Consider the following 14,110-nt stretch of genomic DNA (forward strand, 5'->3'; position numbering starts at 1 on the left):
TTTCAATCTAAGTGAAAACACAATGTTGGCCAGATGCAGTGGCTCACACCTGTAATCCCAGCACTTTGGAAGGCCGAGGTAGGCAGACCACTTAAGCTCAGGAGTTCGAGACCAGCCTGGGCAACATGGCAAAACCCCGTATCTACAAAAAATACAAAAATTACCTGGGCCTGGTGGCATACCTCTGAAGTCCCAACTACTCAGGAGGCTGAGGTGGATCACTTGAGCCTGGGAGGTGGAGGTTGCAGTGAGCCAAGATTGCACCACTGCACTCCGGCCTGGCAACAGAGCCAGCCCTGTCTCAAAAAAAAAAAAAAAAGAAGAAGAAGAAGAAGAAAAAAGTTAACTCCTTTGGAATTTAGCTAAGGCAGTGTTTGAGGAAATTATATAGCATTAAACACTTAAATTAGAAAAAAGGAAAGGTCTCTTATAAATTACCTAAGCTTCCGTCTTTACAAAACCAGAAAGTGGCAGAAGAGAGGATATAATAAAGATAAATGTAGAAATTAATAAACATAAGACAAAAAGGCAATAGGAAAAATCAATGAAACAAAAATTTGGTACTTTGAGAAGATTAATGAAATTGAGCAAATGGCTGATTAGGAAAAAGAAAGAAGACATAAATTGTCAATCTCAGAAATGATAGATTTCTACAGATTTGATGGACATTAACTAGGTAATAAGGAAATATTGTGAATAACTTTATGCCAATAAATTTGAAATTTTTGATGAAGTACAGAAAGATACAAAGCACCAAAGCTCATTCAAGAAGAAATAGGTCACTTATATAGCTCTATATCTATAAGAAATTGAATGTGTAGTATAAAAATTTCCCACGAGGCTGGGCACAATGGCTCACACCTGTAATCCCAGCAATTTGGGAGGCCAAGGAGGGCAGATGGCGAGGTCAGGAGATTGAGACCATCTTGGCCAACGTGGTGAAACCCTGTCTCTACAAAAAATACAAAAATTAGCTGGATGTGGTGGTGCGTGCCTGTAATCCCAGCTACCTGGGAGGCTGAGGCAGGAGAATCGCTTGAACCTGGGAGGCGGAGGTTGCAGTGAGCCAAGATCACGCTACTGCACTCCAGCCTGGCGAAAGAGTGAGATTCCGTCTCAAACAAACAAACAAAAGTTTCCCACGAAGATTACGTCACATAATGACTTTGCTGGTGAATTTTATCAAACATTTAAGGAATAAATAATAGCAATTCACAAAGTCATTTGGGAAACTGAAAAGAAGGCAACACTTCCCAACTCATTCTATGAGGTTAGCATTACCCCGATATTACAACCAGGTAAAAATATTACAAAGAAAGAAATCTGCAGAACAATATCCATAATTAAATAGATGCAAAAAATTTTAACAAAAATCAACACCACTAATATATAGAAAGTAAGATACATCATTACACAATGCATAATCTCAAGAGTGAAAGATTAGTTTAATATTTGAAAATTATTCAGTGTAATTTACCATGTTAATTTACTAAAAAGGATAAACCATGTGATCATCTCAATAGATACAGGGAAGCATTTGGTGAAATCCAACATCTGTTCATGACAAAAACTTGCAGCAAATTAGGAATAGAAGGAAGGGAACTTCTGCAACCTGTTAAAGCGCATCTACAAAAAAACCTATCTCTAATGTTATGCTTAATTATGAAAGAGTGAGTGCCCTTCTCTCTTAGATCAGGAACAATGCAAAGATGTCCTGTTTTTCCCACTTCTGTTCAATGTCATGCTGGAGTGTGTAATCATACTATGGAACCGTGATAATGAAGTCCAGAATAAAGAAGATTTTATCCAGAATAAAGAAGAAGGGAGTTAATCTCTACACAATAAATAAAATATTCCTAAATTGGGAGAAATCTAAAAATAAATAAATGAATAAAAATAAAGACATGCAGATAGGAAATGAAGAGGTAAAACTATTTGCAGACAACATGGTCATCTATAAAGAAAATTCTGAGGAATCTACAAAATACTGCTAAAAGTATGTGAGTTTAGTAAGTTTCAAGACACATACTCAGCATACCAAAATCAATGGTATTTCTACATGCTTACAACCTTCTGCTTGAAATTGAAATGTTAAAAGTACATTTATGATAGTATTAATATGGGAAATACTTAGTGACAAATCTGCCAGAAGATACGCAAGACCTGGATCATTAAAGTCTCTCTTCCCCCTGCCATCATGTCTAAGTCAGAATCTCTTAAAGAGCCCGAACAGCTGCAGAAACTCCTCACTGGAGGGTTGAGCATTGAAGCAACCAATGAGAGCCTGAGGAGCCATTTTGAGCAATGGGGAACGCTCACGGACTGTGTGGTCCTGAGAGATCCAAACACTAAGTGCTCCAGGGGCTTTGGGTTTGTCACATATGCCACTGTGGAGGAGGTGGATGCAGCCACAAATGCAAGGCCACACAAGGTGGATGGAAGAGTTGTGGAAACAAAGAGAGCTGTCTCAAGAGAAGATTCCCAAAGACCAGGTGCTCACTTAACTGTGAAAAAGGTATTTGTTGGTGGTATTAAAGAAGACACTGAAGAACATCACCTAAGAGATTATTTTCAATAGTTTGGAAAAATGGAAGTGATTGAAATCATGACTGACCATGGCAGTGGCAAGAAAAGGGACTTTGCCTTTGTAACCTTTGATGACCATGACTCCGTGGATAAGACTGTCATTCAGAAATACCATATTGTGAATGGCCACAACTGTGAAGTTAGGAAAGCCCTGTCAAAGCAAGAGATGGCTAGTGCTTCATCCAGCCAAAGAGGTCGAACAGGTTCTGGAAATTTTGGTGGTGGTTGTAGAGGTGGTTTTGGTGGGAATGACAACTTTGGTCATGGAGGAGACTTTAGTGGTCATAGTGGCTTTGGTGGCAGCCAGGGTGGTGGTGGATATGATGGCAGTGGGGATGGCTATAATGGATTTGGTAATGATGGAAGCAATTTTGGAAGTGGTGGAAGCTACAGTGATTTTGGCAATTACAGCAATCAGTCTTCAGATTTTGGACCCAAGAAGGGAGAAAACTTTGGAGGCAGAAGCTCTGGCCCCTATGGTGGTGGAGGCCAATACTTTGCCTAACCACAAAACCAAGGTGGCTATGACAGTTCCAGTAGCAACAGTAGCTATGCCAGTGGCAGAAGATTTTAATTACTGACAGGAAAGAAAACTTAGCAGGAGAGGAGAGCCAGAGAAGGGACAGGAAGCTACGGGTTACAACAGATTTGTGAACTCAGCCTACCAGGGCCTAGCCGTTACAAAGAAGACATTGTTTAGACCATACTTATGTCTATGGGCGAAAAACTTGAGGACTGTATTTGTCACTAATTGTGTTAACAGGTTATTTTAGTTCCTGTTCTGTGGAAGGTGTAAAGCATTCCAACAAAGGGTTTTAACGCAGATTTTTTTTTTGCACCCACGCTGTTGACTGCTAAATGTAATAGTCTGATTATGATGCTGAATAAATGCATCTTAAAAAAAAGATATGCAAGACCTGTAGCTTGAAATTACAATACACTGCCGAGAGAAATTAAAGAAAATCTAAATAGATAGAGAGATATATCATGTTCATCAATCAAAATTATTAATCTCAGTTCTCTCCAAATTAACCTATAGATTCGACATAATCCCAACCAAAATCCAAGCAGGCTTTTAAAAAAGAAATGGATAAGCTGATAATAAAATTTAAGTAAAATGCAAAGTACTCAGAATAGTCAAAACAACTTTGAAAAAGAAAAACAAAGTTGAAGGACCTACACTACCTGATTTCAAGATGGTACAGTAATTGGGGAAATGTAGTATTGGCTTAAACATAGACATATAGGGCCAGGCGAGGTGGCTTACTCCTGTAATCCCAATAGTTTGGGAGGCTGAGGCAGGTGGATCACCTGAGGTCGGGAGTTTGAGACCAGCCTGGCCAACATAGCAAAACCCTGTCACTACTAAAAATACAAAAAAATTAGCCAGGCGTGGTGGTGCACGCCTGAAGTCCCAGCTACGTGGAAGGCTGAGGCACCAGGCTTGCTTGAACCCAGGAGGCAGAGATTGCAGTGAGCTGCGATTGCACCACTGCATGCCAGCCTGGGTGACAGAGCAAGACTCCATCTCAAAACAAAACAAAACAACAGACATGTAGATTAACAGAACCAAAGTACAGAGTCCAAAAACAGACCCAAGCAATTGAGTCTATTACTCAAGACTTGAGCTCCTGTGCTTAAGCAGTCCTTGTGCCTCAGTCTCCTGAGCAGCTGGGACTACATGCCATTGTTAGGCACTTATTTAAGACAAATAAAAGTACATGTCGGCTGGGCGCGGTGGCTCACGCCTGTAATCCCAGCACTTTGGGAGGCTGAGGCAGGCGGATCACCTGAGGTCGGGAGTTCAAGACCAGCCTGACGAACATGGAGAAACCCCATCTCTACTAAAAATGCAAAATTAGCCAGTCGTGCTGGTGCATACCTGTAATCCCAGCTACTTGGGAGGCTGAGGTGGGAGAAGCACTTGAACCTGGGAGGCGGAGGTTGCGGTGAGCCGAGATCATGCCACTGCACCCCATCCTGGGCCACAAGAGTGAAACTCCATCTCAAAAAAAAAAAAAAAAAAGTACATGTCTACACACAGATATGAACACAAATGCTCATGCCAGCTTTATTTGTATGATAGCCAGTAACTAGAAACAACTAAAAATCCATCATCAATAGGTGAATGGATAAGCCAATTCTGTTCTATTCATACCATGGCATTCTGCTCAGCAATAATAAAAGAGAACAAATTATTGATATATGCAACAAAACATATGAATTGCAAAATAATTATGCTGAGTGAACAAAGGCAGAGAAAAATAATACATACTGTATGATTCCATTTATATAGAATTTTAGAAAATGAAAACTAATCTAGGGACAGAAGCAGATTATTATTTGCTTGGGGATGTGGGGAAGTGGGCAGTGTAGGGCCATGAGGAAACTTTGGGGGTGATGAATATGTTCATTACCTTGACATGGTGATGAATGAGATGATGGAGATATATACATATATACATGTATACACACACACACACTATATATATATGCATATATATGCATATATATGCATATATATATGCATATATATAGTGTGTGCGTGTTTTGATATACATATGTAATTTATATGCATACGTATATATATACATATGTATATATGTGTGTGTTTTGATATACATATGTAATTTATATGCATATGTATATATTATGTATGTATATCAAAACTCATCAAATGGCACACTTTAAATATGTGCAGTTGTTTAGTAACTGTATCTCAATAAAGCTATTAAAAACAAAACAGGCTGGGAGTGGTGGCTCATGCCTGTAATCCCAGCACTTTGGGAGGCCGAGGTGGGTGGATCACGAGGGCAGGAGATCGAGTCCATCCTCGCCATCATGGTAAAACCCTGTCTCTACTAAAAATACAAAAATTAGCCGGGCATGGTGGTGTGCACCTGTAGTCCCAGCTTCTCAGGAGGCTGAGGCAGGAGAATTGCCTGAACCCGGGAGGCGGAGGTTGCAGTGAGCTGAGATTGTGCCACTGCACTCCAGCCTGGGGACAGAGCGATACTATGTTTCAAAAAAAAAAAGAAAAAGAAAAAGAAAAAGAAAAGGAAAGAGATTGGCTAAATAAATTGAAGTAGATCCACATAAAGAAATACTGTGTAGCAATAAAAATCATGGAAAGGCTCAGCACAATGGTTCATGCCCGTAATCCCAGCACTTTAGGAGGCTGAAGGGGAAGGATCACTTGAGGCCAGCAGTTCAAGTCCAGCCTGGACAGATGGGTAGATCCCATCTCTACGATTAAAAAAAAAAAAAAGAAAGAAAATCATGAAAAGATAATTGTTTAATATTTGATAATTAAGAGAAAAAGCAGATTACAAAACAGTGTATCCAATATGGTTAATCTGAGTATTTTCAGGATTCACCACTTGATTAGAGTGGCACATTAAAATTAAACCATGGTTTACACAGACCAGATTCATCTTGCCAGGGTGGGAATTCCCCTTCTCAGCACAGTCCACCTGCCCCATATGTTTCTGGGTGTTCCCACATGTGCCTCACTTGCACTTGGAAAGTGATCTAAGATGTCCTTTTGTAGTAGGATGAGCTGCAGACAAAACTCCTTAGACACTGGATTAAAGAAGGAAGAGGTTTTTATTCGGCCGGGAGCGTCGGCACTTTGCTGTTGCTGACACCTGGGGCCTCTGCTGAGCTGAGGCTCCAACACTGATGAGGACAGCTGAGCAAAAGATGGCTGGAGTGGCCATCCAGGCTGCTGCCAAAGCCCCATGCACGGGGTGTTCATCATTCTGCCATGACATTGAACCCTTACCGTGCTCTCAGAGGATGGTGGAAGCAAGTGACAAAGCCAAGGCCTCCGTTTTTGTTACACCGAGAGGCCCTCCACAGGAGGGCTGCTTGGGCCCCAGGTGGCCAAGCTCAGCACAGCTGCTCTCTTTGTACATAAATTGCCCTTTTCTCCCCAGAGTTGTGGGGGCAGGATGAGTTCAGGTGCCAGCCTCTGTGGGTGCCTGGAATGCCTAGCCCCCTCCGAATCCCTGGTTCTGGTGTGTTGAATGTACTCCACCTGCCAAGTGCCTCCTCCTCCGGGGATTCACTTCCTTCTTAGAAGGGACCACCACTGTGTTTTGTCAGGCCCCTTCTAAGTTTGCCAGCTGAGCCTAGATCCCAAACATGACACTAATGGATGTTTTTCTTTTTCTTTTTTTCTTTTTTTTTGAGACAGTTTCGCTCTTGTCATCCAGGCTAGAGTGCAGTGGCGCGATCTCAGCTCACGGCAAGCTCCACCTCCCGGGTTCAAGCAATTCTCCTGCCTCAGCCTCCCGAGTAGCTGGGATTACAGGCTCCCGCCACCACTCCCGGCTAATTTTTTGTATGTTTAGTAGAAATGGGGTTTCGCCATGTTGGCCAGGCTGGTCTCGAACTCCTGACCTCCGGTGATCCACCCGCCTAGGCCCCCCAAAGTGCTGGGATTACAGGCGTGAGCCACCACGCCCGGCCTGATGGACGTTTTTCTGAGCGACTCTTCTGAGCCCGTGATCACACATTGTAGATTTCATATCATCTCTTACATAACAATACATACGGGGGGTGGGGAGGGAGTGGTACCACCATCTCTTACCAACCACGTCTGCATCTGCCAGCTCTAGTCTAGCTTCTCTCTGAGTAAAGACATCTTGGGTGGTATGCATTTGCTTTGTGCTGTGCAAAACTATCCACTTTTTTTTTTCTCTTTCTATCAATACCCATGAGGACAAGCACAGCGCATCCTGCTCAGAACCTCATCCCAGGACACAGTGCGTGGTCTGGCACATAGTAGGTGCTCAGTCAAGGTGTGAACGAATAGCAAATATCCCTTTGGAAGGCTGAGTGGCCGGCTCCGCATCGCAGAAGGCGGCTCAGGGGCGCTCCGCCCGGACTTTGCCTGGTGCGGCCGCCCGCGTTTCCGCCTGCGCCCAGCGCCCGGGGATTGACGCCTTGCGGGCGGGGAGCCTGGCGCCGGCGGGGCCCAGGCCTGTGTGATGTGCAGCCTGGGCAGCCCCGGGTGCCGCACCCGCGCCGGAGGGGCGGGGAAGGGCAGAGCCGTCCAGGAACTCTACAGCGCCGCCGCCTCCGCGCCTCCCTTCAGCCTGCCCGCAGCTTCCCGCCTCTGGCTGGGCTCGGGGACCTCGGAGGCCTGTTTCTGAGCCCCTCCCCGCGGACTCGCTCCCCGGACGCCCCCAGCGGGCTCCTCTGGCCTCGGCCCTGCACGCCGCCGGGGCGGAGCCTCCCATCCTTTGGGTAAGAGCCCCTTCCCCGCCCCGCGCGGGGGAAGGGCCCCGTTTCCTGGGCTCCTCCTGTGCTCCAGCACGCTGCCTGGGGAGATCAGCCTGTACCCCGGCGCTGGCCTCCAGACAGCCAGGTGCTGCCTCGCACGGTCTTGCTTGCAGGCTGGGGCATGAAGCACCCTGGTATTTACGCTGGGATTGGTCTCTCACTAGGGTTGGGGCGGGCTGTGGTCACCTGGCCCGGCGCGCCGCAGAGGCTGGCTCCGGAGAAGACCTGGGGGCGCAAGACTCAGAGGCCAGAGGGTGCAGCCGCTGCTGACTCATTTGCGGACGGGGCGGCTGGGAGGAGCGCTAGCCCCTGTTGTGAGCGATTTGAGAGCCAGGGCCAAATCTGGGTCCAGACGGCCAGCTGGGCCAGCGAGGGGATTCCAGTCCCCACAGGAGGAGGTGGTGAGAGAGGGAGAGGGAGGGCATATCTGAGGCCCCTAGGCAGGATGCGTTCAGGGCTGGGCCCCACAGCCTGCTCATCCATCCTGAATCTGGCCTCCGGGACTTGGCGTTCCCGCCCTCCGTCCCCACCAGGCTGTGTCTTCTTTCCTCTGGACACTTCTTTCCCCCTCCCCCGGTTTCTCACAGCTTTCCTTGCCCCACCTTCTCCATAAAGAAATGTGGCTGTGAGAAGCGCCACGTTTTGAAGCCAGGTCACCTCCACTTCCTCTAGTGCTGGTATCACTAACCCCTTCCTCTGTCCTTCCTTCCTTTGTCCCTCTCCCCCGCATTTATCCCACAACTTCCTTTATTCTGTCATGCCATGCCTAAGGGGCCCCTAGGAGGGGTCAGGAGCAACTGGGAGTTTTTAGTTTGGAGAACAGGAGGGAATGAGAACGTTCTTGCGTCCACTCATTCATTTGAGCATGCATTTACACATGCGTTTACTTCCATTCACTCACTCATACATTCCTTCATTCTTTTGCAGTTAATTACTCATTCATTCATTTTCTGGACACTTACTGAGCATCTACTGTGTTCAAGGCCCTGAGTGTTTGCGGGAGGGGCCAGGATACTCTGATTGGCCAGTCCCATCCCTGATGCCAGCTAGCTCAAGGTCAAAAAGGGGGAATTAGCACAAATCAGTCCAATTTATGAGAAAATGCACCGAGAAAGGGCTGTGAAGTGTGTGTGTGTTGTGTGTGTGTGTGTCTGTGTGTGCACAGGCGTTGGGGCACATAGGGGGAGAATGTAATTCCACTTAGGAGGGGCCAAGAAGGCTTCCTGGAGGCAGTGACATTTGAGCTGGCCTTGATGGCGGGCACGGTTTGGATGTAGACTTATTAAACGGGCATCAGGGTGGAGGGAACAGCAGAAACAAAGGACACACCAGGGGTGTGAGGGAGCAGTGGGCAGTTCTATTCATGGCATGAGGGGATCAGAAGAACGAAGTCTGGACAGCGAGGCCAGGGCTGAGTGGAGGACAGGAGAGAGGAGCAGCCTTGTTCTGAGCAGCCCAGAGCCACGGTCACGGCAAGACCCTTCTGGCTCTTGTGTGTGTGTGGAGCTGTTGGTTCTGGTAGAAGCTGTAGGAGTTCAGCTAGGACAGTACTGAAAGCGGAAGTTGGTGTAGATGGTGTGAGACGTCCCTCCTCTCCAGAGAGTCCGTGGTCCTGTCTGGAAAGGCCAAAAAGCCAGGAGAGGGAATTCCTGGGAGATTGGTTATTTTATTCACTCATTCATTTCCTCTTTTGCCCTTAAACCCACTCATTCATTCATTCTTCACTTAGTCACCAAACCCTTCCTCTGGGCAAGCCTTGTGCTGGGAACTCAGATGATTCAGAAGAGGTCCCTGCTCATGTGAGCTCCCAGTCTGGTGGGAGAGACAGATCCGTGCCTGACAGCTGCAACCCAGAATCACTGTGGAATGTAAATGGAGATAATTTCATTGTGTTTTGTCACTGAGTGGGGAGGCCGAGTTGAGACATGGACCAGAAGAATTAATGCAGACGTTTGGCCTCCAGCCAGAAAGGCCTGATCCATGGGGCCAGGTGAAGAAGGTTGTAGTTTGGGAAAATGAGTGTTTGAAAGAGAAAATCCTCTGGGTTCACAGGTGTGAAGAGGCAGGCTTTCTCTAAATGTGAGACTCCCCAGAGGCCCACTTAGGGACTGGGCCTTTGGGCTGAGGTCACCACAAACTCCCCTCACATTAGAGATGAACCTGCGGGATTTGGGAGCCCCTAGAGAATTTTCTGGCTGGTCAGCATAAGCTATAAGCAGGTTGTGGAGGGTGGTGGTTAAATCTGTGGGCTTCGGACTTAGATCAGGGTTCAAATCCCGATGTTCCCTTCCCAGTGATGTGACTTTGGACAAATGACTTAATACTCTTTGCCTCCATTTTTTCCTCTACAGGAAAATAATAATCATAGTATCTTCCTTTTAGGGTGAGGCCTAAAGGCAATAACATACACGATGTGCGTGCACAGTGCTGGGCATTGAAAAGGGCTATAATGATAGGGTTATAATGACAGTGACTATGATGATGACAGTGACATACTATCAAGTGCTGCCTTTAAAATCTCTGGGCCTCGGCCGGGCGCAGTGGCTCATGCCTGTAATCCCAGCACTTTGGGAGGCCGAGGTGGGCAAATCACTGAGGTCAGGAGTTCGAGACCAGCCTGGCCAACATGGTGAAATCCCATCTCTGCTAAAAAATATTAAAAAACAGGGCCGGGTGTGATGGCTCACGCCTGTAATCCCAGCACTTTGGGAGGTCGAGGTGGGCCGATCACGAGGTCGGGAGATCAAGACCATCCTGGCTAACACGGTGAAACCCCATCTTTACTAAAAATACAAAAATTAGCCGGGCGTGGTGGTGGGCGCCTGTGGTCCCAGCTACTCGGGAGGCTGAGGCAGGAGAATGGCATGAACCCGGGAGGCAGAGCTTGCAGTGAGCCGAGATTGCGCCACTGCGCTCCAGCCTGGGCGACAGAGCAAGACTCCGTCTCAAAAAAAAAAAAAAAAAATTAGCTGGGCGTGGTGGCGCGTGCCTGCAACCCCAGCTACTCAGGAGCCTGAGTCAGGAGGATCGCTTGAACCCAGGAGGTGGAGGTTGCAGTGAGCCGAAATTGCGCCACTGCACCCAGCCTGGGTGACAGAGTGAGACTCTGTCAAAAAAAAAAAAAAAAAAAGAACAAAAAATCTCTGGGCCTCATTGTCCCCGGGTGTAAAATGGGAGGGCTGACCCCAGCTCGCCAGTTCTCCAAGCGCGGTCCCTGGACCATAGGTATCCTTTGGGGTCTTGTTAGAAACGCAAATTCTTGGGTGCTGCTTCAGTTCTATGGAATCAAAAACTGTGGGGACAGGGCCCAGCAATCTATATTTTGACAAGCCCTCCAGGTGATTCTGGTGCAGGCTGGAGTTTGAGAACCGCAGACCTCTTCTTGATCCCCGTTCAGGGCTGTGATCCAGCCATGTGTGTTTCATGCCTCCTGCACATGGTGTCCAAGTCTGCAGGGTGGTGGGGAGGGGGCACAGAGATAGGTAAGATGTGGTCCAAGCCCTCAGGGAGCTCGTGGGTGAGTTGGAAAGGGGAGACAGACACCCATGGGAACATTCACTGGAGTAACAGACTGCACAGAGCTGTTGCGGCGACACAGGAGTGAGCTCTGTAATAGAAAGCGCAGAGAGGAGAGGGACCTTTGTGGGTTGGAGGGGCACCTGTTGAAAGATCTAGCTCTCTGCTGCTTGTTCCTAACACTAAGATTGATTCAGCCTTTCTGGAAGTCCTCTCGTAAGTCTAACTGAAGCCTCTCTCATTTCATGCCTTGCTGTGTGGGGGGTGGACAGGGCTCTGGACTTGAGGTCAGGGGTGTGATTCTAGCCAACTTCCTCACTGTGTGTCTTTGGGAGCCTCACTTTCCTCCGGGCCTCAGTTTAGCCATCTGTAACATGCAGGGGTGAGCCAAATCCAGTGAGTGTGGGACATTGCAGTTGTCTGGAGAGAGGGTAGGCTTGGGAGCCAGGAGCTCTCTGGGTTTTCATTCCTCCTTCTGCAGAGGGAGGATTCTGAAATTGCCCTGGCTGCCTGTCAAGTTAGCTTGGGGACCCATAAGATGAGATATCCCCTCTTTGGGCTGACTTCCTTACCATCCAGGGAAGTCTCATGACACCTGTCCTGTCCGCCTCACGTGGCTTTCCTCATGTCGAGCGTGCTCGTCATTCTGTCATTCTCACAGGCTCCTTGATGCCTAAAGCCCAATGTCTGGCATTCGAGCCCTCCATGACAGGTTCCCAGCTTTCCTGCAAGGCCATGCTCCTCACGGCCTATGACTGCCTCCTGTTCTGCGCCTGTCAGGTCTTCCACCTCACCCCTCTTCTCAGCCTATCCAAGCCCATTCAGTCTTCAGGCGAGCTCTAGCACTATCTCCTCCAGGAAGTCTCCAGGATTGCTCCAATCCTCAGGGCCATCCATGGGCCATCTTGCAGTCTTTAAGGTGTGACTTCAATTTCTCATTTGTAGACACAGAATGGCTGACCACTAACAAGCTGTTTGAGGGCAAGGCCTGAGCTCATGGGGATGGACATTATTAGAGTCCTTGACTTGTGGAGCAGGGAGGCCCAGAGAAAGGAGGGAACTTGCCCAGAGTCACATGGTACACTAGTGAAAGAAGGAGAACTCAGGCTTCTTAGGCAAGACAGGCCTGGAGGATGCATGATTAGATCTGTGGTGAATGAGCGAGAGGCCCTGAGGATGGAAGGAAGGCTGTGCCCTCGGAATCCAGCGGGTCTGTCCCAGCTGGTCTGTGCTGTCACTGGCTGTGCCACCTGGGGCATGTCACGTACCCTTCCTAAGGAATCTTCCCAGTGGGGTTGGAGGAAGACCAGCCCGAGGCCTGTCACACGGCAGGTGCTTGGTTATTATGGGGTGCATGCTATTATTTTCCATCTACTTGTCCATCCCAGCCCCCATGCCTGAATCCTTTCCCTGCCCCTCCACTTCCCACCCCCCACTTCCCTTAGCCACCAAGCACTCATTGTCCTGTCCTTAGTCCAACGTGAGTGTCAAGACCTCCTGATCAAGCCTGTGGGCAGAAGTCAGAGGGAGAAGGGAAAACCCTGGTGGTCTCTCAGTTGGTGGTGGCTAGAGAGAAACTGGAGTGGGTGCCCCAAGGGGCTGAAGCCTGTGTGGCCATCGGGGTGGAATTTGGCAGGTGCCACTTTTAGAAAAGTCACACTGCCTATTTAAAGGAAGTGAGGGGTGTGTCCTGTCCCCAACCAGCAACTGCTGGATGCCTGCGGCCTGGAGCTGAGGAGCTGGTGGGCAGCGCTCCCGGGGTGAAGAATCCTAGCAGGTGGGTCTGGTATCTCTCCGGGAGGTTGCTGGCAGCTCCTTGGCCTCCTGCCACCTTCCAGCCTGACCCCTTGTGGACGGATGGAAGCCTCATGGCTGTTTTGCCCATCTGCTGGCTGGGATCAGGGACCTGGACCCCCACCAGCCCCCTTCCCTGGGAGTGATCACAGAGCCAAGAGACACTGTTGGCAGGATGATGAGCTCTGGGACTGGGGGTGCCTGGAGTTTGGCTGGGGCTGGGTGCCCAGTGGGCGGGCACAGGCCCCTTGACGTGGCTGTGGCCTAGCTGGCAGCCTCGTCCTTCCTCTCCGCTAGGCGGGCACTGGAGCTTTCTGTGCAGGGCTCCTAGGAGAAGGGGGGTAGAGGGCAGTCTGAAGAGAGGCGGGACGCGGGGTGATAACAGCTGGCTCTGGTGGGCGGGCGGGAGCTGGGGAGGAGGAGCAGGAGAGGCCCACAGGCTTCATTTGGAGTCAGGCCTGGCTGTTGCTCAGGTGACCAGCTTGTGTCTCTGGGAGGGCGCTGCTTTCCCCGGCCACCCGGCGCGATGATCCAGAATGTCGGAAATCACCTGCGACGGGTATGGAGGGTGGGCTGGGGCAGCGGGAGGGCTCTGGAAGCTGGGCACCCAGAAAGAGATTGATGTTTCCATTTTAACTCAGACGCTCTGCATCTCCTCACACTCTCCACGGGCCATTTTCTAGCTCTCTTTGGAAGGAGAAATCGCAGAACCCCTGGGCTGGTTTATTATCAGCAGCAATCTCCAAACAAGCCCCAGGGGCTGTCAGATCCCCCACGGGCTGGCTGTGTAGAGTGGAATCACCTTCAGCAAGTGTCGGCCTCTGGAATTCTATTCGGTGGGTGTATGTTTCTCCCTGCAGAGTTCTGTGTATGTTTCTGGGGGATGTCTGAGCTCCATGGCCTTGTGGTGCTTCATGCTCAGAGC

General features: G+C 48.8%; 1 protein-coding gene and 1 pseudogene across 2 annotated transcripts in view, besides 1 other annotated feature; both read left to right on the top strand.

The window, feature by feature from the left end:
* On the top strand, window positions 2,142-3,353 carry HNRNPA1P63 (heterogeneous nuclear ribonucleoprotein A1 pseudogene 63; annotated as a pseudogene).
* Window positions 7,431-7,850: a silencer, noted in NCBI's record as "silent region_920". NCBI's record gives its function as "represses an Ori minimal core promoter by ATAC-STARR-seq in GM12878 lymphoblastoid cells {active_cell/tissue: GM12878}" and the evidence as "EXISTENCE:reporter gene assay evidence [ECO:0000049][PMID:35858748]".
* Window positions 13,630-14,110, top strand: part of ACOT11 (acyl-CoA thioesterase 11) — a 90,965-nt gene continuing 90,484 nt past the window's right edge. For both annotated transcript variants that reach the window (NM_015547.4, NM_147161.4), the window contains exon 1: window positions 13,630-13,744. In NM_015547.4, coding sequence (NP_056362.1) covers window positions 13,712-13,744 — 33 coding nt within the window. In that variant the 5' untranslated portion in view covers window positions 13,630-13,711. The remainder of the gene's footprint in view (window positions 13,745-14,110) is intronic.

The sequence above is a fragment of the Homo sapiens genome, chromosome 1, assembly GCF_000001405.40.
Source record: "Homo sapiens chromosome 1, GRCh38.p14 Primary Assembly".
NCBI lineage: Eukaryota > Metazoa > Chordata > Mammalia > Primates > Hominidae > Homo > Homo sapiens.